Genomic DNA, 24167 nt, shown 5'->3' with positions numbered 1-24167 from the left:
GGTTTGTATTTTTCCTTCCTTTTCCATTTGTTGCCTGCCCTTCAGCCTCGGTAGGCTGCTCTCCGGCCTCCCTGCCCATTCTCTGTCCCTCATGGTGTGTCTGTCCTTCTGTGTGTTGTGTTTTCTTCATGTCTCAGTTGAGTTCCAGCTCTCTGTCTGGACTTCTCACTGATCTTGCTTAAATTCCAACCCCTGGGATTAGGACCTCTCATCCCAGACATAGAATTTCTGCCCGGCTTCAGGCCCTGCCAGCCAAATACATTTCCCAACCTGTGCCCGGGCCAGCCAGGGTAAAGTGGCTTAATCTTCAACCATGTTTTCATCTTACTCAACAGATGTTGCCCAAGGCCTTGGGTAGAAGGGACCTAGGGTCACCACCCTCCTGTGGGGCACTGGTGGGGCAGGATGGAGAGGCAAGAGGGCTTGTTTGCCACGGACACTCCTGATCCTTGCAAAGAGCTGAAGCAGCTTTTCTCAACTTCTGAAAAATAAGTCAAAAGAATTTTTCAAGGGTGATCGCCAAATGGGTTGGCCACCAAGGTCGGCGGATGTCAGGTCTTCTGTGTGCGGGAGAGCTGCACTGGGGGTGGAATGATGTGCACATTGCTTCTACTTGCCCAGGCAGGCCCAGCACAGGGGCTTGGAACGTCCCTGTAGAATGACTTGGAGGTCTGCAGGTCAGGGTGGGGGGTCTGGAGGGGAGGAGGTGAATGGGGGAATAGGAATTGCCCAGTAGGAAATCATGCTTGGATTGCAGGGGGACACCATGGGAGCCCGAGGAGGCTGGTTTCACTCATAATAGTAATAGCAACAGTGAGAGATTAACCCTTTACTGGAACTTCATATCTGCCGAGCTTCGTTCTAAACACTTTACAAAAATAAACTGATTTAATCCTGATTACAGTGCAATGAGGGAGGTGCTGTGATGATCCCAATGTCACAGATGAAGAACTGAAGCTGAAGGCCACAGAGCTATGAAAAGGGGGAGCTGGGATTCTGACACGGTGGTCTGGCACCAGAGTTCACCCTCCTAAGCATGAATAATAACTGACGTCACTGTCACTTGCATAGCACTTGCCGTTTTCAAAGCCTTTTCCATGACGTGGGGCCATTGGGACCTCACAGTGACCTGTGTGGAAGCCTGGCAGGCCCAAGCCCACCCTGAGAAGACAGGAACAAACTGTACATGGAGCAAACTGGGTGCCTTGTTCATGGTCACACAGCTCGCAGTGGCAGGGCTGGGTCAGGAGTGGATTCTTGGTCTGTGTTTCTCCCCAGGCTGCCCTCGGTGCTTGCTCCTGATTTAAGTACCCGATGTTGCCGGGTGATGGGCTTCTCCTGAGCCCCTCTTTCTAAACAGCTAGCTTCTCTGTTTGCCAGTAGGCTTGGGATTTGAGGGAGGGTCTGTCCATCCATGTAACCATCCAGCCATCTTACCAATACATATCTCTGGAGCACCTACCCCCTGGGCTTAGGACCCCTCAGTGCCAGGCACTGTTCTACGTGCTGGGGCTTCAGAGTTCCTTTCTGCCACAGTTGTCAGTGCTTCTTGAAGACAGACGGGCATGGAGTAGACCTGGAGCCACAGGGTGGAGAGGACTTTGGACGCTATCTAGTCCCATCCTGTTCTTTTGCAGATAAAGAAACAGGCCCTGATCTTCTTAAGTGACTTTCTGAAGGTCTCGCAGTGTCAGATCTGAGGCATTGTGCTGCCTCATGGAAGCAGAGAAGGATGTGACGTTAACTGGAAGCAGAGAAAGGGAGCGGAGCACTCAGCTTCAGTGTGCGGGCTCGCTCCATCAAGGGTGATGTGCAGTCACTTCAGTCAGCCTGAACTCCGACCCGATGCATTTCATCCCAAGGCACTGGGCAGGCCATGGGTGGCCATCCTTGGGAAATCCTGAAAAAATGGCTGATTTTCAAAGGGGAGGGGCAAACTCTGAGCATTGCATTCCCAAGAGGATGCTGAGCATGGGGAGGGAGGTTGAAAACCCCAACTTGTGCAACCCCTAGGGCCGCTTAGCCTAGAGAGAGAAGACGTGGGACGGGCACAGAATGGGAGTGAGAATATGTTGAAAGACAAATGGATTCATTTTCCATTGTTCTGCAAAGTAGAACTTGGTAGGTAGAGGTCCTCAGAAAGAGGAGGAAACTCAGCTCCTCATTTGCCAAAAGGGGTTCAAAGTGCTCCTTAAAGAACAGCATTTAGGCTGGATGCGGTGGCTCACGCCTATAATCCCAGCACTTTGGGATGCTGAGGCGGGTGGATCACAAGGTCAAGAGATCGAGACCATCCTGGCTAACATGGTGAAACCCCGTCTCTACTAAAAATACAAAAATTGGCTGGGCGTGGTGTCTTGTGCCTGTAGTCCTAGCTACTTGGGAGGCTGAGGCAGAGGTTGCAGTGAGCTGAGATCGCACCACTGCACTCCAGTCTGGCGACAGAGCGAGACTCCGTGTCAAAACAAAAACAAAAACAAAACAAAAAAACCCAAAACATTCTTACTGATACCTATCAGGTATAAGGCACCATGCTGATGGAAGCACCAGCTCCACAGGGAGCTGCCTGGGTAGAAGTCCTCAGGCTCACTGAGGTCCTGTCATTTGGCTGCGTTACAAAGTGACAAGATCCACAGAGGTCCAGGCATCCCTGAATGTGCTGAATACCTCCCCTGTAATCCCCACTTTGAAAGGCCCAAGTAGGGTGAAGGGTTCTGACCTCAGGGAACCCTCTGTTCAGTGGGAGAGGGAGAACCACACTATGGAAATAGTGCCTGACTCTGGGGTTTTGACCAGAGGTGGTAGCCTTGGTGTTCAGGGGAGGAAGTGATTTGCTTGTGCTGTGGTGGTTGGGGAAACCTGCCTTCTGTTCAAGCCTAGTTTAAGTCTGGAACAAATAGAAGAGAGGAGGGAAGGAGGGAGGGCGTTTTGGAAGGTAGCAGGGCTGAAACAGAAAGGGCGTAGGACCTTGGTACCAATTGCTGAGTCTGAAAGAGGGCCAGGCAATCTAGTGTAAATGTTTTGGGCAAGTCTCTCTTGCTGGCGGGAAGAGAGAACCAGGCAATCTTGTATCACCAGGGCCCAAACAACCCTTGGTGACCCTGCCTGGGGCTTGTGGTGGGAGCAGTGTGGGTGCAGGAATGGGGGCAGGGATGAGCGTGACAGGCCTGGTGGGCCTGAGCAGCTGTGAACAGAGGCTGCATGCTGGAGAAGAGAGAGCAAGCAGTGGAGTGGCTGGAGGGAGAAGGGGCCAGATATTGGAGGAGTCCACAAACCACACTGGGGAACTTGAACTTGATGTGCTAAGCACTAAGGGCTATCCTGGGTCCCTGAGTGGGGAAGTGACCCAAAGCAGGGTGTTAGAGCTGGGAGTCTGCTGCCAGTTTCAGGGTGGCTTGGCAGGGAGGGACCGCCAGGGGAGGGCTGAGCTGGTATAGATGCTCAGTGTGGCTTCAAGGCTGCAGGCAAGGGTGGCTGGAGGGGTGTGGAGGAAGGGCACAGCCTTCCAGTGCCCTGGCCAGGTCGGGGAGGAGAGCCATATCCACTGAAGGACATGGCAAGAGGGAACACAAAATATTCCAACCTGTGCAAGCCGGCTGCATTGGGGGTGTCCACAGTTGCACAGCCTCAGTCAGGATTTGGGTGTTGGGCCCCTTGGGGTGAATTAGGAGAAGGGGCTGAGGACAGGTGTGGTCTGGCCAGATCCTTCCCCTGTGGAGAAATCAGACATAACTCTCCCCTTAATCACATGGAGCCTATTCTTTTCCTCTGGTGGCCTGGGCCTGCTGGGAGGGGATGTGGCCCCTGGAGCAACTGAGCAGATATACTTCAGGGTCCCAGGCTCCACTGCCAGCATCCTCTGCCAGCCCCATCTGCTCAGTGCTCTTTCTCTAGCCCTCACCCATCGGCTCCCACTTCCTCAAGACTGAGCGAGGGGAGAGCACAGGGCTCTGGGAGGTGCAGACCTCAGAGGTCTTAGACTCGGAGGCGCAGATCTGATCTCACATTGAGCGGCCACCCTCCCTGGAAACTCCGTCTCCTCATTTGCAGAAAGGTGTTCAAAGTGCTCCTTCTAGAGCCCTTGCTTATGACAGTGAAGGGAGGTGATGCCTTGGGAGGCACGGGGCACGGAGAAAGCGCTCTCTCCCTTTGCTGCCTTCTGCCGCTGCCGCTGCCTTGTTTTCGTGATTAGGCTGTTGATAGAGGGCTCTCATAGGTCTGTATGTGGGGACGATTAAATGGGGCCGCACCTCTAACGTGCCATCTCACAGCCTGCCATGCTCCAAGTGCCCCATAAACTCTGTTTCCCTGCCCTTCCCTTCTGTTTTTAGCCCCCTCCTTGCATTTGCTTATGATTCTATTTTTGAAACAAGTGAGCCTAGAATAACTTTCTCTGGGTCCTGGGTCTGAGGCCATTCCAGCCCTCGCTAGCCCTCCCTGCCAGCTCCCAGTTCCTTCCCCTCTTGATAGGCAGTGCGATGGTGACCTCGCAGTTCATTGCCATGGCAGTAGATCTGGTCATGGGGTGGTCTTTTTGGCCCCCAAGCCCCCCAGATTCCAGGCCTCCCAGGGGGCAAGAGTCGGGAGAGTTGGAGGGTGGAAAGGGGCAGGGTGTAAGGAATTTCCGGACGGAATGTTCCTCCGGAGGCTGAGCCCGCATTCTGCGCACCCTCCTCCCCAATCCCCTTCCCCTCGGCCCTGGGCTCAGGCATGGGAACCTCCCCCACCCTGTTGTTTCCTTCCTCTAAAACAGCAGCACAGATACATTTTTCCCAGCCCACCCTCCTTGCAGGCCACTAACCTGTCCTCCTGCGTGAGCCTCTAGGCCGTCCTGGCAGCCACCCCCCAACCTTCCAGCAGAAAGGCCCCTCCTGGCCCCACCTTGGGCCCATGCAGTGGGGGAGGGTAAAGGCATGTGTGGAGAGGGCATATGTGTCTTTTTTTGGAAAAAAATTGAGGAAAGGATGTGGAGCTTCCCTTATCCACCCTGTGGTTCCCGACCCCTCGAATTCAGGAAGTTCTCTCTGTTGTCTGATCTCAGTCTTTCCTATGCAGCCCAGTTCCTATTCTTTCTGTGGAAGTATGGTTAAGAAGTGTCTTCCTACTGAGGACCTGGACAGAAGTCCTGCTATAACTGGCCTTCAATTTTCAGAAAGCTTGTTCCCCACAGGAAGGCAGTTATCAGAGGAACTGCCTGGAGATCATTGCCAGGGAGAGGGGAGATAGCATGATGGGGAGGTGAGGAGCAAGGTTCAAACAGCAGCTCTCCTACCGACTGGCTGTGGAACCTTGGGTGAGTCACTACATCTCCCAGGCCCTCAGTTTCCTAAACTGTACCCTGCGGTAATGCTCGCCTCCCAGGGTGGTTGTGAGGACTGGTGATCAGGAAAGCAAAGAGCCCAGTACTGTGTTCCGGGCATTGCCATCCCTAAATGAATAGTTGTAATTCTTGCAATAAGTTTATGAAAAGGCATCTCAGGGCCAGGGCCAGGATGAGGGCCAGAGAGTGAGGCCTCTAGGGTGCAAGATCTGAGGAGTCATCACTCTCAGGATTATGCAAGTGCACTCGCAGGACCTCAGAGTGAGAGCAATGCCTTCTTAAATGTTGTGCCCCAACATTCGCCCTAGTCCCCACCTTGCTTTGCTCTAACTGCTGGTTTTGGGACTCTAGAGCAGAGCAGCCCGCTAAGAGCAGGGCTTGGTTTTCAGGTAGTGATAGGTTCAAACCCTGCCACCTGCTTCTAAGCTGGATTCTGAGTTGTCCCTCCTGGGAGGTAAGGGGGGACTCTGGAAGACCCCTGGTGGAACAGTGAGTCAGCTGCTCTCACTTTGGAAAGCCTGGGGACCTTAAGCTCCAGGCTTTGTCCTGGGACTGGGCAGTGGGTGGAGACAGACATAGGGGTCTGTCTGTGTTTGGCCTCCACCCACTTCATCCCTTTGCAGCTGACTTGAGGAGGAAGGAAAAGAAGAGCCTGCAGGGAGGCACCAGCTCACCCTGCCAGCAGGATGGCTGGGGGCCAAGGGTGAGGGCAGTGAGATGAGCCTGGCAGTGGGCTTTACAAACCTGGGAACCAGCTCCAGCCATGCCACAAACCTCACCATGAAAGGCTGGGCAGATCAGACCTCCCTGGACCTCAATTTCCCCATGTGTGAAACAGGGGGATGGAGGAGATGATGTCTTAAGTCCCTCTCAGAGCAGATGTCCCCAGGAGTGGCATGCAAGGATGGTTGTGTGTGTGTGTGTGTGTGTGTGTGTGTGTGTGTGTGTGTGTGTGTGTATGTGTATGTGGTAGCTGTAGAAACATCCTGGCCAGGAATGGAGTGAAGATGAAGGTCAGGGGCTTTGGTTCCAGAGGGTCCCGGGAGTGCCAGCTGGACTCATTAGGCAGTGTCAATGGTAGGGCTTCCCACTGGCCCCGGCCTCCCTGCAGGGCCTGGGGCAGTGGCAGCCTCAGGGGATCCTGCCCTCCTGTTACCAGTCCCATGCCTTTTTCCTTCCCAGTAGCCCCAAGGCTGGAAGTGTTGGGAAACAGAGAGATAGGACTTGAATCCTGGGAGAGTTGGGTTGGAGGGCAGAGGAGGGTCGGGCAGCATGCATGCTGGCTGTGTTTGCAAACACTGCAGGACAACTGGGATGTTTAGATGGTGCAGGGGGTGGGGACTTGGAAATTTTTAGCTCCTCAGAAAGCATCTCAACCAGTAAGCTGAAGGCATCTGAACTCTGGCAAGCGTCACCCTGTGGCCGGCCTCCAGCTGGCATGGGGAAGGGGTGGGGGCAAAGGGGATGGTGCTCAGATGATCACTGGCAGGAGGAGAAAGTTTCTCTTGCACTGCTGAGGCCTGTGGTTTCTAATATTGACTTCAGCTCCCTTGTGTGCACCATGCCAGACCCAGGAGGGTTGGGGCAAGAGGGTCACAGTGAGGCAGGGTGGGCTGGAGAGGGCCTGGGCCTCAGGGATATGAGGTGCTGCCCCGAGGCTAGAGACGATAAACAATAGTGATAGCTGACAAGTATTGAGAGCTTTCTAGTGTCTTGCACTCTTCTAAGTGCTTTATGTGCTTTATTGCATTTGATCCCCCCAAAATAACCCTGTGCGGGCCTGTTGAGGAGCAGGAAGGACAAGGTGACCTGCTTAAGGTTGCATAGTTAGGTAGCAGCCGAGAGAATTAGCATGTGGACCTGGGCAGTCTGCTGCCAAGGCCTTTTAGGGAGCAGTCAGTCCAAATCCTGCCACCTGCTCCCAAGCTGATTCCGAGTTGGAGTTGTCCTGCCTGGAGGCAAGGGAGCTGTTAGCTGAGGCTGGTTGTTCTCGGAGAAGCATCTGGGACCTGTGTTGCCTGGAAACCTGGTAGAAATGCACGTCCTTAAGTCCCACCGTAGGTCTAACTGTGTGTGTGTGTGTGTGTGTGTGTGTGTGTGGGCACCCAGGCACCTGTGGGTCAACAGCCCTCTAGGTGGTGCTATGCATGTTCAAGTTTGAGACCCCTGGGCTCATGCTCTGCTGAGGGTCGAGGCCTATTAGGAGGCTTTAACCAGAGGAGGAAGAGAGGCTTTTCTGGGCCCTGAACGGGCCTGGGGCAGGTGTAGCATCTCTAGCTTGTCCACCCTACTCCATGTCTGTCCATTCTAGGAGGCTGGGTAGCGGACAGGTCAGGAGTGAGGGCTTTGGAGTTGGGGGATTTGGGTTTGCATCTCAGTTCCGCTGTGGTCTGCCTTCTGGGAGTTCCCTTCCTTCCCACAGGAGACCAGAGCAGCTCTGAGACGAGGCAGCTGGGCTGTTCTGCCCAACCTCAGGTCTCCACGTGGGAATGACAGAGCCCCTGGAAAAGAAGGGAGAGGCTGGAGGGTAGAGAGGGCCTGGGGTGGGCGACACTGCTTTAGCGGGGAGGGGGTGTGGGGGGTGGTCCCTGGTAGAGGGGTGGGTGGGGCTGGGTTGTTGGCGGCTGAGGGGAGCACCTGGTCCTAATAAGCAGGCAGCTCCACGAGCTCTGACTTACCCTGAGTGGGTTAGGGGATTAGTGGGTTAGGATTAGGGCTGAGCTGAGAGAGGGCAGAACGTGCCATCATTATTCCTCCTCCAGAGCCATCCTCGGACTCCAAGTGGAGAGAAGGTGGTGTACCTAGCAGCAGGGAGGATAGTGGAGGAGAGGTGTGGGAGGGGTTGGCCCCTGTCCCCCCAACCCCTGTGCCTGGACCCCGTTGTCCCTCTACCGTCCCCAGCTGCCTTGGCCCTGAACTGCTCAGGAAGTTTCATCCCCTGGAGAGTAGTTTTGGCCTCAGCCGCCTGTCTTCCAGGCAGTAGGGGTAGATGAGTCTGGGCCATTTCCAGAGAGAGCACTGTTACCTCCGCTCAGCCCAGTCTCTTCCTCCATGCCTATCTGTGCCCACTCCTCCTCCCTGACGCCGGAACCTTTTAGAGGATCATTCTGTCCATTCCCCTGCCTTTGGACATGAGCAGCTCATCCCTCAGCTCTCAGGGATGGGGTTGGAGCAGGCGCCTCTTGTGCCGAGACACATGGTCTTAAACCTGGGTCACACTTGTCCTCGTCAAGGTTTGCTTCACAACCATTCCAGTTGTGCTCAGGCCTTTCTGCCCAATTTGAGGGCCCCATAACCACTTCACTGAGTTGGAAACGGTGGATCAGAATCCTCTCAGATTCTGATCAGGAGGTGAACCTGGCATAAGAAGTTTCTCTTCTTGCTATGGGGAGAAATCAAACCATCTTTAGTAGGAAGCCCTTCTGCTGCCCTGAGTGAAGAAAGGAGGGTGCCAGAGTGAGGGATGGGATCAGCCAACAGGAGTTTATTGATGGCCCACTATGCATACATCCACCCTGGTAGGAGGGAGTTTCCAAATGAATTGGTCCAAATTTTGCTTAGAATCTATTTTGGATGAAGGTGGAATAAGAATCACAAATAAAACAATAGTTGGGGAAACAAGTCATCTATTCCCATGATGAGATTATTCATACACTAAGGACCAGACAGGGAGGTGATTGGAGTTCAGAGGTGGGAAAGAGATCCTACTTGCTGGGGTGGCCAGGGAGGGCTAACTGGAGGAAGAGAGCCCTCCTTGTAGGAAAAGAAGGGAAAGCATTCCATAAGTAAAGACCTGGATGTGGGAACAGGCAAGAAGAGTTTAGGGGCTGGGGCTGATGGAGCAGAGCCTTTGTGCTTGGAAATGGAGGTGTGTGAGGCCCAGTGGTGGGTGGCCTGAAAGCCCACTGAAGTAATGAGACTGGCTGGCTGCACTATTTCAGGCTGCTGGGATTTCACTTAGAGCCCCAAGATGGGGTTCAAATCCTGCCGTCTCTATTAGAGTTGATGATGTTGGCTCAGTCATTTAACTTTCTTATCTGTAGAGTGGGGATAAAAGGTATTAATGGTACTCACCTCCCTGGATTCTTGGGAATAAATGAGATGCTGTAAGTCATTGACCTCTCCAATTTGTGGGGTCAGCAACTGTATGAACCAGAGGCCTGGCGCCGGGCACTGAGCGTGGGTCTTTGGTGAAGGTTTGTGGAACCAGATGGTTCTAGCACTATTAGGATGGTTTTCCACATGTCAAACTCTCCCTCCTGTGCTTGGGGCCAGCCAGATTATGCCTGAGTCTTGGGTTGGCCTCATCATCCCTGTCTCAGGGGGCATTCTGCCCATCAGGGCCACTAGCCATGGGGAGAGAGCCCATCCCTGGGATGTCTGCCCTAAGGGCTCATGCTGTTTCTCCTTCTGTCCACAGCCCATCACCACTGAGAATGCACCAAAGAATGTAGTGGACAAGGTGAGTGATGGCAGGTGGTGGTGGGGGAGCTGGAACAGCCTGGGCAGGTGTGAGAAGGCTGGAAGTGGAGAGTGGATTTGGGGGAGAGTGGACAGATGTGGTTGGGGAAATGCTTCCGGAGTAGATTTGGGGAACTTGCAGGGAAGTAGTGGGGCGGCTGCTGACTCTGGGAGAAGGGCATCTGACCATCCCTGTGTGTTTGGAAATGGGCTGCTAGGCAACTGGGCAGGCAGAGAGGGAGGGGCAGGGTGGGAGCTGAGAGGGAGCAGCCGGTGGTTAAATGTGGGCTTCCTTATGAAATATGCAGAATGCAAGAAAATCAGGCGGATCTTTCCAAACAGGTCTTTCTGAGCTAGCTGAGAGTTGGACAGTTTCCTCAAGGCTATGCGGAAGATGAAGGGAGGAAAGTAGGTGGGTTCTGCCATGGGGAAACTGAGGTTAGCTACCGAGAGAGATCTCCTGGCGATGGCCAGCAGGAAATCATGGGCTTGGAGATGAAGGACTTCGGTTCAAATCTTGACTCTGCCAAGGTTCTAATTATGTGACTGTGGGCAAGGCATGAGCCTGTCTGTGCCTCAGTTTTCTTATCTGCAAAATGAGAATAATAGTATCTCCCACAGGAGTGGCTGTGAGTTGTAAAGGAGAGGATTTGGTTAGTTCTGAGGGGGCCTTGATATGGGCAAAGAAATGTGAAACAAAGACCAAAGTTCTTTCCCAGGCCCCTCTGCCAACCTCCTCATCTGCCGCTCCTGACAAACCCAGCAAGGTGCATTTTGATTATTTTTCTTGCCTCCCCTCTCTGACTGCCTTTTCTCTGTCTGCAGGGAGAAGGAGCCTCCCGGGGTGGAAACACACGGAAAAGCCTCGAGGACAACGTGAGTGTGGATGGGGAGAAGAAGGATGGGGCTGGGCCCTGGTGGCCAGGGGGAATGGGGTGGGGTGGGAGGTGGATAATGTCTTGTTTCGTGGGCTTCCTTTACCTCTCTCTAGAAGGAGAGGCTGGCATTGTGGGCAGGCCCATTTCCTTACAGGCTGGGCCTCAGCCTTTGGTGCTGCCTCCATCTAAGCGAGATCCAGAGCTCATTCATCAGCGACTGCGCCAGGCCTCGGTGCTCAGGGCGGGTGGGAGGAGAGAGGGTGTGTGATGAGTGGCCATGGGGATCAAGGGGAAATGCGCAAAACCACAGCAAGGGAAACCGAGGGCTGAGGCAGAGAAGGAGCCCTGACTCTTGGCGGGGGGTCTTAGTCCTTGGGGAAGTGGTAGTGCTTCCCTGGAGACAAGAGTCTTAGAAAATAGCAAGCTCCACTGTGTGGCTTAGATGCTATTGGTTCAGGAGGAGGCTGGGAGATGGGTCCACGGGTCCCCATGGGCTCCTCCTGCCTCCCATTTTGGGGAGAGGGGAAGGGGCGGATGCCTGAAATGGAAGGATCCCACAGAAGGGCTCGGGGTCTCTTCCAGGACGTGCTTTGAGCCCCGTTCGGGGTTGGTCTTGTCTCCACACCCCAGGGGCAGACTCCCAGCACAGTGGGGCTTTGTCTTTTCTTCCCTGCCCCTCTCTGACCGTACTCCCTGTGCTGGCCCCTCCGTCTTCACCCGCCCTGGGCTGCAGAGGAACAGGGAGTGGTTTTGGTGGTTGGCACAGGGGTAGATGTTGATGGCACGAGGCCCTATCATCTGACAGCTGCCTGACCCACGGTGGGGAGGGCCCTGGAGGGAGTGCTGCGGGAGCAGGAGGGGCAGTTCCTATAGGCAGCCTGACTCCCATGGTGAGCCCACTGCCACCACCACATTGCCCTGGGGCAGCCCTGCATGTCCAGCCCTACAAAGCGGCAGCATCCCATGGACCGCATGGGGCCTCTCCAGGTGGAGCAGGGAGCATGCCTCTTAAATTAGTGGGGAAGGTTCTGCTCAAGGTATGCATGAGTTCCCCTGGGCGTGGGGTACTCATACTGGGGAGGGGCCCTTGTCCCGCTTTGTGATGTTTCTGGGACTGGGGTGCAGGGGGAACCTAATTTTTTGTGTGTACCTACTACCAAGGATGTACAGGTTTAATGTACTCAAAATATATCATACGTGCTCAATAAATGTAAGCCATTCTTATTACTGTTATTTTGACTAAGGGCTGGGAGCTGTGTTGGGTGTTTTGCGATCCTCCTGACACCCCTGTATGGCAGAGGCTATGAATCCACTTTATAGATGAGGAAGCAGAGGCTTGGCGTTGCTGAATGATTTGGTGAATGCCACTCCATCCCTTCCTGGGACTGCTGCTGGGGTCTGGTGTTATCCTGAACTGCTAACCTTTGGCAAGGGGACAGGGTGATGGTGTGTGAACCAAGCCTTCTAGGCAATGGTCTGGGCACACTCAGGAGCCACATCCTAGAGCTGCTGTCCCCACATCCCCAGTCTGGGCCAGATGGATCCCGTCAACTAGAGCTACAGCAAGAGACAGTGAAGTTAGACGTCACGAAGAACTTTTGATTGCAAGAGTGTGCACGACCTTGGTCCTAGGGAAGAAAGAGGTGGCCGTTTAGTTGTGACTGAGGCTCTTTGGCTTTTTTTAGAAGAAAGTATTGGTGATCTGGGATGGATGTGTCTGTGCCTGTGTGTCGGGGTGGGTAAGTGTGCTGTCTTGTCTGGCTATGGGAGGAGAGACAAAATGAGCTTTGGAAAGGTAAGCAAGTGAGCAGCTACCAGAACGGCCTGTGTACTGTAAAAGAGGAGAGAAAACCTAATTTGTAAGGCTCCTGTCACCTGTCTCAGGTTGGGTTGGCTCCAGGGTCATTGAGCCAGTCCCCTGCCCAGCCACGGGACTCTCCAGCAGTCCACCCCGGGGGAGGAGGACCTGGGCCTGCTGCTGTGATAATGTGGCTGTTTGTCAAGCTGTGTTGCTGTCTCTGGCCCACGGCCCAGGACTCACAGGCAGGAATGGCTGTTTTCCTCCTGCCGAGTTGGTGTGTAGTGGAGTTTGTGGATAGTGTGCTGTGTCGCACTTTGTTTTGGAAAAATCCAGGCTAGTGGGCAGGAAGGAGAGGGGAAGGGGTGTGGCTGAAGGGGGTGCTATGTGGGGGTTGGCCACAGCCCCCAGAGGAGATGTAGGAATGGGGCCGGGCCCCTGACGTAGGTTGGTCACCAATCTCTGGCTGCCTGACAAGGCCCCTGGTGTTCGCTTACAGACCCTCCTCCCAACTGTGCCCCTCTGGGGATCTGGGCTCAGGAAATGGCTTTTCTTTTGGTCCTGAGCTGTTGTGTTTGGTCTGTGGACCTCAAAGGAAAGCAGGGCTCTTCCCACAGAGGCATTGCTTCAAACCAACCCCACCCAAGGCTGGAGGTTCGTGCTCCTTGCCTCATGACGGGGAAGAAGGCAGCAGATAACAGAACCTGGGGTCATAGACCTTGAGCCACCCAGTAGTGTCTGAGTGGTGATCCACTCTTGCCTGCAATGAGGACCAAGGCAAAAAGAGTTGGCTGAATCTGCAGCAGGAAGGATGAGGGTTAGATACCAGGAGGAAATTCCTGACAGTGAGAAAAGTAAGACACTCTGTCTGGGAGGCTGTCGAATTTCCTTTCATGGTGCCCTTTCAGCAAAGGAAGGATTGTGTTTTGGAGGTAAGGATGGGGAGAGTTCTGTTTGGTGTTTAGAGAGTTGGATGAAAAGTTCTGTAATCAACCTGTGTCTTGAGAGGAGCCAGGAAGAAGTTCAAAGCCATTTGGGTAAGGTGATTTGTGATCCCCGGAGAGGAAAAGAATAGGATTACAGGCAGGCAGAGAGCTTATTTTCCTTTTTATAAGGTTTGTAAAGTCCTGTAGTCGTTTTCCCTAGGGGCTCCACGCGGAGTAGGCAGAAGATTATGTGAGCACTGTGCAGTGCCCATTTTACAGATGGACAAATGAGACGGAACCTCTACTCCTCACACTGGGTATGGTGATGAGTATCATGGTCTGTAAAATATAAGCTCTCTGAGGTCAGGGACTTCACTTCCTTTGTCCCCTGGTGTCTAGAACATGGCTGGGCACACAGCTGGTGGCACTCGGTGGATGTTTGCTGAATGAGAGAATGAGCATGAAGATTGGAGGCCCAGGGATGACCGGATGCCTTGTGTTACTCCCACTGTGCTTGTAAAAAGCCTACGTGATGAGGCATGCTTCCAAAGGCACCATCTCTAGCCTCGTGTGAGGTCACCTGTGTTTCTGGAGCAGTAGGGTGTGTTTGCTGACATGCCGTGCCCCTGCCCCAGCCCATTTGTTGTTCTCTGAGTTCTGTCTGTCTGTGTGTACCGACACTCAGACGTGTCACCGTGCATGTCTGCTGTCCGCCAGCAAGGGTCACGTGCCCCCAAACTTTGCAGAAAACAGGAAGCCCCGTCAGTGAGAGGGCAGCCCAGTGATTCATCAGGGGATGACAGTCCCAGCTGTTCGTCCCCCATCCTCTGCACTGGGGTCACTGTCCAGGGTGGCTTCCTCCCCATGCCTCCCCTCCCCTCCCCGCCCGGTGGAGCAGAGCGGGCTTGGACTTTGCCTTATCACCTCTGGAGGCGGCCTGGCCAGACTCTGTTTGGGCCAAGTTTTTATTTATCTTCACTGGCTTTTTTTGGGGTGGGGAGGCTGAGGAATGTGGAGTGTTGTAATGTTTGGAAGAGGGCGGTGGGGAAAGGGGAGCCAGGTCTCCTGTCCTGCTTGTCCTGCTTACCCCTGCACCTTTGCAGGCTCCCGGCCCCCCTTGGTTCCCCAGTTCCCCCTGCCAAGCCCATATCAATATGGCCCATTGTCTTTCTCCAGCTCCCTGGGTCTGGTCCCATGCTCCTGGCCACACCTCACGTCTTGGCTACCGTTGTGGCTTCCAGTTGTTCAAAGCAGCTGTGGTGGCTTCCTCCAAAAGTGGCTACGGATCAGCAACAGATGAAACTCAAGGGGCTATTTATAGCAGGGTGGCCCTGGGGCCTGGAGCAGGGCCTAGGGCCTGGGGAGATTCAGGGACTCCTCATTAGGGACCAGTGAAATGGAGATGGGTGAACTGTTGGGTTTCTGTGTTCCTCTGAGGGGGCAGTTTTGGAACAGCCTGGTTTGGGTCTTGAAAACCAAACACAGTCACTCGTTGACTCCCAGCTCCACCCCTGTCTAATCCCCCCACCCCCAAGCTTGACTCATGCAAACTGGAGTCCTCAGGGCCAGAAGAGCTGTGAGACTTAGAAACTTCCCCCCAGTAGCCCCACTTGGCTCTTCCCTCCTTCACTGCTGAGGAGCTGCTCATTGGTCCGAGGCAGCTGGGACTCTGGGCAGAGCCTTCTTCCGGACAGCTGGATGGAGGGTCCCCCTCTTAGCAGAGCTGCTCTAACTTGGGGCTCAGCTGGGAGCTGGACCTCGGAACCCACCTATCCTGCCTCGTAGGCACTGCGGAGCCAGGAGAGGGGTGCAGGGGCTCCTCTTCTTGGAGACCCCGTGGTCAAGCCCCAGGTTGGAGTGTGAATCCTGCCTGGCCGTCAACTTCCCAGGGACTTGAGGGTAAGTTATTCTGTGCCTCAGTTTCTTCCTTTCTTGGCAGATTGTGGTCCTGTCTCTTTAAAGAAGAGGCTGCAACTTGGCGGTAGGAAAAGACCATTTTCTGAGAGGCACATGGGTGTTTGGAAGGTGTCAATGGGCTCAGGAGGTCTGAGAATCTAGAAACTGGCCTTCCCAATTCTGCATCCTGTGAGGTGACTGGAAGGATGGGTAGAGGCGATGCAGGGTGTTGGTTTTCTATAGAGGTGAATGTTTGGTTGTAACTACCCTTTTCATTTTTCTTGATACAAAAGTAACAACAAAAACAACAGCTGTCATCTGGTAAATACCAGGCATGATGCGAAGTGCCTTATATGCATAACTCCTTTGGATCCTCACTGCCAGCCTGAAGGTTGTCCCATTTTACATGTGACATTACAAGAGGCTCAGAGGGGTTAAGTAACTGGCAGGGCTGCCCAGCAGGATCCTGGAATCCAAACTCTGTGGTCTGTGGGCCTCTGACCCTGTGCTTTCACACCCGCCATGCCATCCTGCTGCCCTGGGATGGATTGGGCCCATTTGCTTAAGTTTGTACCACTCGACAGCTGTGAAAAGGGGAGTGGGTGAGATGGTTACTGTCTGCCACAGACAGTGGGGAGTGGGCCCTCAGGAGCATGGCTCACTGTCTTAGGCCTCGTCTTGGTTCCTGCATGCTCCACCTGCCTGTTCTGGTCTCTAAACTCAATTGAATGACTTGATGTTACAGCTTTCAAGCAGAGAAGTGTGGGGTGATGGTGGCAAGACAGAGGGGCGCCATTACTCTCATCGCTCCTTTTGTGGTGGCAGTCGTATTCTCCTCCTGGGGTTTCTCTTGTGTTGGCGAGTGTATCAAAGTGAAGTGTGTTTCCATTGATTCAGTAACTGTTGAGTGTGCCCTCAGTGTGGATGGCACCAGCCCAGTGGGGTGCACTCCTCAGCATTCGGGATTCTTCCTTTTGTCCCTCTGGGGCTTGCACACAGGCAGGCACACTCACGTGGAATCAGTGTTGATGGCTTTGGCTTCGGGCAGGCTGTGTTTTTGCAGGGGTTAGGGTGGCAGGGCCAGAATGTTGGCAAGGAAAGAAGAGGATCATGTTTGCCCCCGTGGACAGCTCTCTGGTGTGCTCCTCCTGCCATCCTGCCCACCCCTGCATAATGCTGCTTCTCTTCTCTCCTTCCCAGGGCTCCACCAGGGTCACCCCGAGTGTCCAGCCCCACCTCCAGCCCATCAGGTATGCCTGGCCCGTGGGGGCAGGGGGCGGGAGTGCAAGCAGGGGGGTCACTGTGGGTGTCCCTGTTAAGTCTTGCCTCTGGGTCCCCCGGACTGCAGCCATAAAGCCACGGGTGGGGAGTGTGGGCAAACGTGAAAGGCACAGGAGAGGATGCGTGCGGATGCCGTTGGCAACAGTTGTGTTTTGAGCTCTTAGCCAGCCCTTGAGCTGAGTCTTTATTTACCTGCATGAGCTCATCTAGTCCTTGCAACAACCCCGCAAGGTACGTATTTTATTCCCTTTGGTAGAGCAGCATTTCAGAGAGATGAGGTGACTTGTAAAGGTCACACAGCCACCAAGAGGCAGCACTTGGATTTGCGTTTAGGGCTGATGAGCATTGAGGCCTGTGCTGGATCTCTTCCTCTCTGCAGACAGGATTCTGACTGGGCAGAGTCATTTATGAAAGGGAAGTTCCCTATCTGGCTGGGCTGGCAGGGGCCGGGGGAAGGGGATGCACAAGGGACTTTGTGTCCTGGCGATCCAGAGAGTTTGTTTTGCCCTCTCTGCCTCACCTTCACCCACTGAGGCTCCTGAGATGATTGGGGATGCCAGCCCTGCAGTAGAGTTGAAGCCCCTGGAAGTTTCTGGCCCAGCTGCCAGCTGTCCACAGACTGGAGGTGGCTCCTTAGAGGATCCCCTCCTTCCCTTAGACCTGGGCAGGTGGATGCAGAGTGTGATGCTGAGGCTGTCCGGCTGGTGGCACTGTTCTGCATTTGCGTCCTTCCTGGGATCCAGCCTGTAGACAGGGGCGGGTCAGTGCCCCAGATGGGCCACGTCTGACTCATGGCCCTCACCAGCACGGCCCCTCTTGCTCCCCTTCCTGTGCTGAGGGAGAGGCTGAAATCACAGGAGCTTGTCTTGCGAGTTTTTCTGACATTCTAGTTTCTTCCTTGGAGCCAGAACAGAGAGGGGTTTTGGAGGATGGGGAGGAGGGGATGCTGCAAGTTAGCTGAGGCTCCCCGCCCTCACACCCACTTGCTTGCAGGTATGTGTGCGTGTGGCTTCTTGTCCCAGACTGGTCACCACCTACAAGAACTGTCCTTGGGTAGGCAGTTGGCTTGAGATAGAAACTTCTCCCCCACAGCTGCAATGAGAAGCTTTCCATAGGGACAAGAAGTAGCTGGGACTCAGAGTCAAACTCAAACCGGGCTCCTTACCTCTGGGTGCTGGTCCCCAGTCCCACTCAGGCCCCTGTCATCCCAACAGAGAGGTCCTGCCATGCCTCATCCTTGGCTGCCCCATCTCCACACCCCACCTGGACTGGGATTGAACCCTGGTGGAGGTCTGGATTCCTCATGGCTTCTCAGCATCTGGGGGCTTGTTCTGTCTAGTGCCAGAGAGCCCTCATCACTTTTAAATACCCCAGTGGTATTCCTTTCGCTGCCCTCCACTCTCCACTTTATCCCGCTGTGGTGAAAGGTTAGCAGAATGAAATGTCAGTGCTGCCTGCATTTGATAGAGGGGGAAGCGAGACACTAGGAGGTCAATGATTGGGGAAAAAGCTGGAGGGATGGGGGAGGTGCTTCTAGAAGCAAGAGGTGGGCTTCCCAAGTGGGCATCCTGGACCCTTCCTCTGGAAGAAAAGTTGGGAGAGATGTAAAGATGCGAGCCCCTCCCTTCCTCACCCAGTGCCCAGTGGAGAGGATGGCCAGCCCAGGGGCCTCCCCACCTCTCCGGGAAACGCATGGTGCTGGCGGCTGCCCGCCACTGCAGCAACAAGGGCTCTGTGCCCTCTTGTTTTCTGGGCCCTTAGAAATCAGGGAGGCTGCTGCCAAGAAGCAGCTCTGGCAGGCAGTGGGAGCTGCCAGAGGTGGGGAGAAGGCCAAGGAACAAAGGGCAGGAGTTGGCCTGCCTCCGGGAGGGCTGGAATGTGTGCTGTGGTCTGGCTTACCTGGAACCCAGGTGAACGTGTCACCTGAGATGCCCCCTCCCCTGAGAGGTTTCCCGCCCACTCCACAGCTCGAGAGCTAGGGGCGGGCAGTGGGAAGTCTCCGTTCCAGGGCTGGAGAGCGCCCAGCGCAGGCTCTCCTTCCTCTTCCAGAGCAGTCTGGGGCCTTTCGGGAGACTTCTGCCTGGCCAGGCAGCCAGTGTTGGGAGCCAGAGCTCCTGGGTTCCTGGGCCAGTCTGGCCCTGGCTCTGAGCTCTGGAGTCACAGGTTGAAGGCAGTGGCCAAAGGACTGATGGGAACCAAGAATTGGTGTCATCACAGTTTGGTTCTGAAATGGCCTGAGGTCCTTGCCAGCCCTACCCAGCTTGTTCTCGCCGGCACTCCCAAGCCGGCCACATTGGCCTTGCCAGAGGAAGCCTGTGGCCTTGGCCTTGGGTTGAAGAGCAGCCAAGCACCCTGGGCTGCATATGGGGGTCACACAGGGTGTGTATGGGGTGCAGCTATCTGGGGCCTTCCCTGTGGGCTGGATTCTGATATGGACCCTCCGCTGCCTGCTGTCTCCCTAGAAACATGAGTGTGAGCCGGACCATGGAGGACAGCTGTGAGCTGGACCTGGTGTACGTCACAGAGAGGATCATCGCTGTCTCCTTCCCCAGCACAGCCAATGAGGAGAACTTCCGGAGCAACCTCCGTGAGGTGGCGCAGATGCTCAAGTCCAAACATGGAGGCAACTACCTGGTGAGGATGGATCCTCGTGCCCACTGTCCTGTGCCCTCTATGCTTCCATCTGCTCACCACCTCTACATGACTGGTATCCCTGCCACCAGCCCCTGTGCCAGCATGCCCTCTTCTCTTTGTTTATCTGCCTTTCCCCTCAGGCAGCTCTCGTGCCTGAGTCTTCAATCACTCTCCAGCCCAGCTCTCCTCTAAGGAGTGTGCTGCAGCTGGAATGTAGCATCTGGAACTCTGTGTGTGCATGTGTGTGCTGGCCAGGAGAAGAGAGTACCAATAAGAGTTCAGGTTATTGAGCGCTTGCTACTAGCCAGGCCCTGTTCCAACTGCTTTCCACGCACTTAACCTTTGCAGCAGCCCTAGCAAGCAGGCACTTGCCAGAGCACAGAGAGGTGGGGTTATTTGCCTAAGGTTGCAGGGTCAGGAAGTGGCAGAGCTGGCACAGGGTCGGTGCCTCTGAGAAGTCTGAGGGCAGAGTCTTGGCAACATGTGTCTTAAGGGACCCTGGGTTGCTGGCACCTGGCTCGGCCTGGCCCAGAGGAGTCACCTTGGCACACGGGAGAGAGGTGCTGGCGGTGGTCTCCACTAACGCAGAAAGGCTGATCCGTCCTTGGCCCCAGAGGAGGGCTCAGGTCCATTTTAGAGGGAGGTGCCTGTGGACTGGACCCACAGATCTGATCTGTACAACCTCAGGTGGCTGTCCCCAGGGTGTTTGAGGTGGGATGTAGGAGGCTGCATTAGTTTCCCAGGGCCACTGTAGCAAATGAGGTGGCCCTTTCTATCCATGGGTTTCACCTCTTTGGACTCAATCCATCATGAGTTGAAAATATTCAGAAAAAACCCAACAGTAAATAACAATAAAAAACAATACAAATAAAAACAATACAGCAGAACAACTATTTGCAGAGCGTTTATATTGTATTAGGTATTACAAGTAACCTAGAGATGATTTAAAGTCTACGGAAGTATATGCATAAGTTATATGCAAATAGTACATTTTTTATATGCAAGTTATATGTAAATAGTACATATTTTATGTAAGAGACCTGAGCACCCATGGATTTTGGTATCCACTATCCATGGCGGGGTGGAGGGGTCCTAGATCCAAATCCTCCATAGACACCAAGTGATGACTCTACCTCAAATCTGGTGGCTCAAAATAACAGAAATTTATTCTCTCACAGTTCTGAAGGCTGGAAATCTGAAATCAAGGTGTTGACGGGGCCATGCTCCCTCTGAATCCTATGGCAGAGAATCCCTTCTTGCCTTTTCCTAGCTTGCGGTGGGATTCCTTGGTTTGTAGCGCATCACTCCAATCTCTACCTCCATCTCCACGTGGCCTTCTTCAGTGTCTCTCTGTGTGTCTTCTCTTCCTACAAGGACATCAATTATTGGACTTAGGGTCCACCCTAGATCCAGGTTGATGTCATATTGAGATCCTTAACTACTTACACTGGCAAAGGCACTATTTCCAAATAAGGTTGTATTCTGAAGTTCTGGGTGGACATGACGTTTTGAGGATACTATTCAACCACTATAGAGACCCACCTGTTAGCTGCATTGGGGCATTGTTAAGAGCTTGGCTTTAAACCTCAGAAAGTCCTGGGTTCAAATTCTGGCTCTGCCTTTACTAACTACATGATCTTAGCTGTTTAGCCTCACTAAGCCCTAGCTTCTGTGTCCGTAAAGTGGGTCTGAGGTCTACCTCTTATTGTTGTTGAGAGAATTAAGCCAGCTGTTAGATGTAAAGTCCTTAAGACAGGCTGACAGGTGGCAGACATTCATTGAGTGATGGCTATTGTACCATAATAAAGTGTATTCCTTTACAGAGTGCAAGAGTGGATGCAAATCCACCTATTTCTGATTTTAGGAGTCCAGGGTTCTATGGGACTTGGTGCCCTGCCACCCCTCTCTCTATCCTGCCTATTCCAGACTGGGCTGTCCCCTTTTCTCCCCAGGAGATGACACAGTGCCTTTGAGTTTCCTAGGCAGTGGGGTGGAGGTGGGAAGTTCTGCATGCCCCCCTCGGAGGTAGAGGCAGGAATTCCAGAGACTGGAGAATTCCTTAGGATTCCAGTGGTCAGGAATGGGACCCCAGTGGTCAGGCGTTGAAAGGCATGTGCTGGGAGAGGTATGTCAAGGGTCTGATTGGGCCCACCCAGGATGGTTTGCCCCTCTGATGGAGGAAGTCTGGTGACAGAGAGGTTGCAACCTCATGGGATGAGGTTCTAGGGTCAAGGTATGAAGTGGAAACCAGAGATTGCCAACTACTTATCATCTCACACAGCTGGATTCCCGTTCGGTGTGGTGAGAGGCAAGCGGAACTGGAGACAAGTTCCATCCCCTTCTCGTCTTCCATTCGGGACATCCGCTCACGGAACAGGGTGGCTGAGTGTCTACATCTCTCTCTCTCTCCCTTTTCATCCTGAGGACCTACAGTTGAGTTCCTCTTCGTGACGGTGTGTCTGCTGGGACTCACCTGCATGTTCACGTATGGATAGAATTCCTATCGGGGAGAGAGAGCGAGAGCAGGCACAGGAGGTCCAGGGAGCTCATGGCTGTTCCGTGGCCAGGCCCCTGGCCGTGAGAGGACATTGACGCTCTGCTGGATGCTGTCGTGGGCTCTTCAGAGGAAGTTGGCAATGATGCCACGGTCCTTTCTGGGACCAGCAGGCCATGGTTCTCTCTCTCCTCGCCGCCCTCCTCACCCTCACCTCCTCATGCTCTCTTCCTTTTGCTCCTTCTAGCTGTTCAACCTCTCTGAGCGGAGACCTGACATCACGAAGCTCCATGCCAAGGTGAGCCAGGGGCTGTTTTGGGGTAGGGGAGGAGAAGGAGAACAGATGGACTCCCTCTCTGGAGTTCCCACATAATAATCTTGGGGAAAATGCTGTGACAGTTTGTCAGAGTGCCGACTTATATCTGGAAAATGGAAAATGATCTACTTATCATTTCCACAATGCCAATTACAGAAAGCAAAGCTTGGGGCAGTGACTTTCCACCCAGGTCTGCCTGCTGGGGAGTACACAGAATCACTTGGGTGAGGCTGGAGTTGTGAGATGTTTAGTTTTTGGATTTAAAGCAGTTGGGAGCCGCTGCTTTCGACCTTCCAGCTGCCGGTTTTTTTGTTTGTTTGTTTGTTTTTTTGAGATGCAGTCCCCCTCTGTCGCCCAGGCTGGAGTGCAGTGGCGTGATCTCAGCTCACTACAACCTCCACTTCCTGGGTTCAAGTGATTCTCCTGCCTCAGCCTTCCGAGTAGCTGGGACTACAGGCACGTGCTACCATGCCTGGCTAATTTTTGTATTTTTAGTAGAGATGGGGTTTCGCCGTGTTGGCCAGCCTGGTTTCAAACTCCTGGCCTCAAGTGATCTGCCCACCTTGGCCTCCCAAAGTGCTGGGATTACAGGCATGGGCCAGCGCGTCTGGACCTGTTGCTGCTTTTTATTCTGTTTGCTCGGGGGCTGTGTGTGGGCTTTGCCATGGGCATCTGCTCCTAGCTCTGAGAGTTTGGTACATGCTGTTGTGTGATCCTGGGTGGGTGATGGACTTCTCTGGGCCTCAGTGTGCCCCTCTGAAAGTGGCCTGGCTGGATTAGGTGTGCTCTATGGGTCCTTGCAGAGTTCTCTTTTACTTTAAAGTTGGTGAGTCTAGAAAGATTTTGAGAGGCCCGAAGCCTGCTGTTCAGGTCTGCCCTTTGTGTCCTTAAGGCTGCTCTTGGCTGGCCTGGAAAGTGGATGGTTTGTGTGACCAGGGCCTAGAAAAGAGTCATGAACATCAGGCAGCCTTTTGCTTTTTCCTCTCGCAGCCTGAGCCAGGCCTCAGGGCTGTCCGTAGGAGAAGAGCTTGAGGACAGTGCTTGGGGCCCCTCAGCATGTTGGAGGTCAGTCCTATGGTAGGGACCTTGGGGTCATCAGCTCCAAGCCTTTCTTTTTGTTTGTTTTTTTAACACACATATGGGGAAATTGAGGCTGGAAGAGGACCTGAGGCCTAAGGCCCCACAGTGAGTCAGTGCCAGGGCCAAGACCCGGGACCAGGGTCCCCAGTACTGGGTCATGCATGGCCTTTGCCCTTCACTCCCCTGCCTCCTCGCTGGCCAGTGGGCAGGGAGGAACCAAGTCCTGGCAGGAACCAGCAGCTGCGGGCCACTGCCCAGGTACTGGCACGTGGCGTAGGTGGCTCCCGCTGGCTTGTTTGGCTCTGCAGGGCTTCTGCCCTCTTCTCACTCATGGCTTGGGCCACAGGTACTGGAATTTGGCTGGCCCGACCTCCACACCCCAGCCCTGGAGAAGATCTGCAGCATCTGTAAGGCCATGGACACATGGCTCAATGCAGACCCTCACAATGTCGTTGTTCTACACAACAAGGTCAGAGCTGTGTGTGTGTGTGTGTGTGTGTGTGTGTGCGCGCGCGCACATGCGCACATGTGTGTGTGCCTGAATGTGTCCTTGGATGATTGTGTGTACCTGCCTATATCTTTGGATTTTGCGAGCATATAAGTCTGTGTGTATTTTTCTTTCTAGGGGATAATAGGTTCTGTCTTGGGCGGCACTTCTAAGAAGTGTAGGGGACATCAGCTTATGTCCACGGCAGTGGATGATCAGCTGTGTTTTTTCTGAGACTTAGTCCCCACCTGCCTCCCTCCCCTGAGGCCCCCTTCCTCCTTATGTTCTCCCTTAAATCCACACCCCTCTCTCCAGCCCTGACTCTTTTCCACCAAGGCTTCTAGATAAGCTCTGGGGCAGCAAGGCTGGCCTTAGAAATAAATGATTTTGTGTTTGGGGCTCTTTCAGGGAAACCGAGGCAGGATAGGAGTTGTCATCGCGGCTTACATGCACTACAGCAACATTTCTGCCAGGTAAGAGGGGCCTGGAGCCTCCCATCCTCTGAACATCGACAGTGTGACCCCCCTCCTCTCATCCACCCACAGCCTCTCTGCTCCCTGGAGTGAGGGGATACGCACAGAGGGAATGAGAAGCGA

At 54.0% G+C, this 24167-nt stretch overlaps 1 protein-coding gene and 1 non-coding gene across 22 annotated transcripts in view; both read left to right on the top strand.

Moving 5' to 3' along the window:
• Nucleotides 1–24167, top strand: part of TNS1 (tensin 1) — a 234192-nt gene that overhangs the window by 116991 nt on the left and 93034 nt on the right. For 20 of the 21 annotated variants that reach the window (XM_047445637.1, NM_001438865.1, XM_047445639.1 and 17 more), the window contains 7 exons: nt 9741–9782; nt 10607–10657; nt 16480–16529; nt 19023–19194; nt 21936–21986; nt 23431–23553; nt 23980–24044. In XM_047445637.1, the coding sequence (XP_047301593.1) occupies nt 9741–9782; nt 10607–10657; nt 16480–16529; nt 19023–19194; nt 21936–21986; nt 23431–23553; nt 23980–24044 (554 nt within the window). Of the gene's footprint in view, nt 1–9740; nt 9783–10606; nt 10658–15246; nt 15283–16479; nt 16530–19022; nt 19195–21935; nt 21987–23430; nt 23554–23979; nt 24045–24167 lie in introns of those variants that run through there. The other variant, XM_047445643.1, reaches the window with a different exon arrangement.
• MIR6809 (microRNA 6809) lies at nt 16364–16479 on the top strand. Its single transcript, NR_106867.1, has one exon. It is a non-coding gene; the product is annotated as a microRNA 6809 (primary transcript).

Source organism: Homo sapiens, chromosome 2, assembly GCF_000001405.40.
Source record: "Homo sapiens chromosome 2, GRCh38.p14 Primary Assembly".
Lineage (NCBI taxonomy): Eukaryota > Metazoa > Chordata > Mammalia > Primates > Hominidae > Homo > Homo sapiens.
Note: the sequence above shows the minus strand (reverse complement) of the source record. Positions and strands in the feature narration are given on the sequence as shown.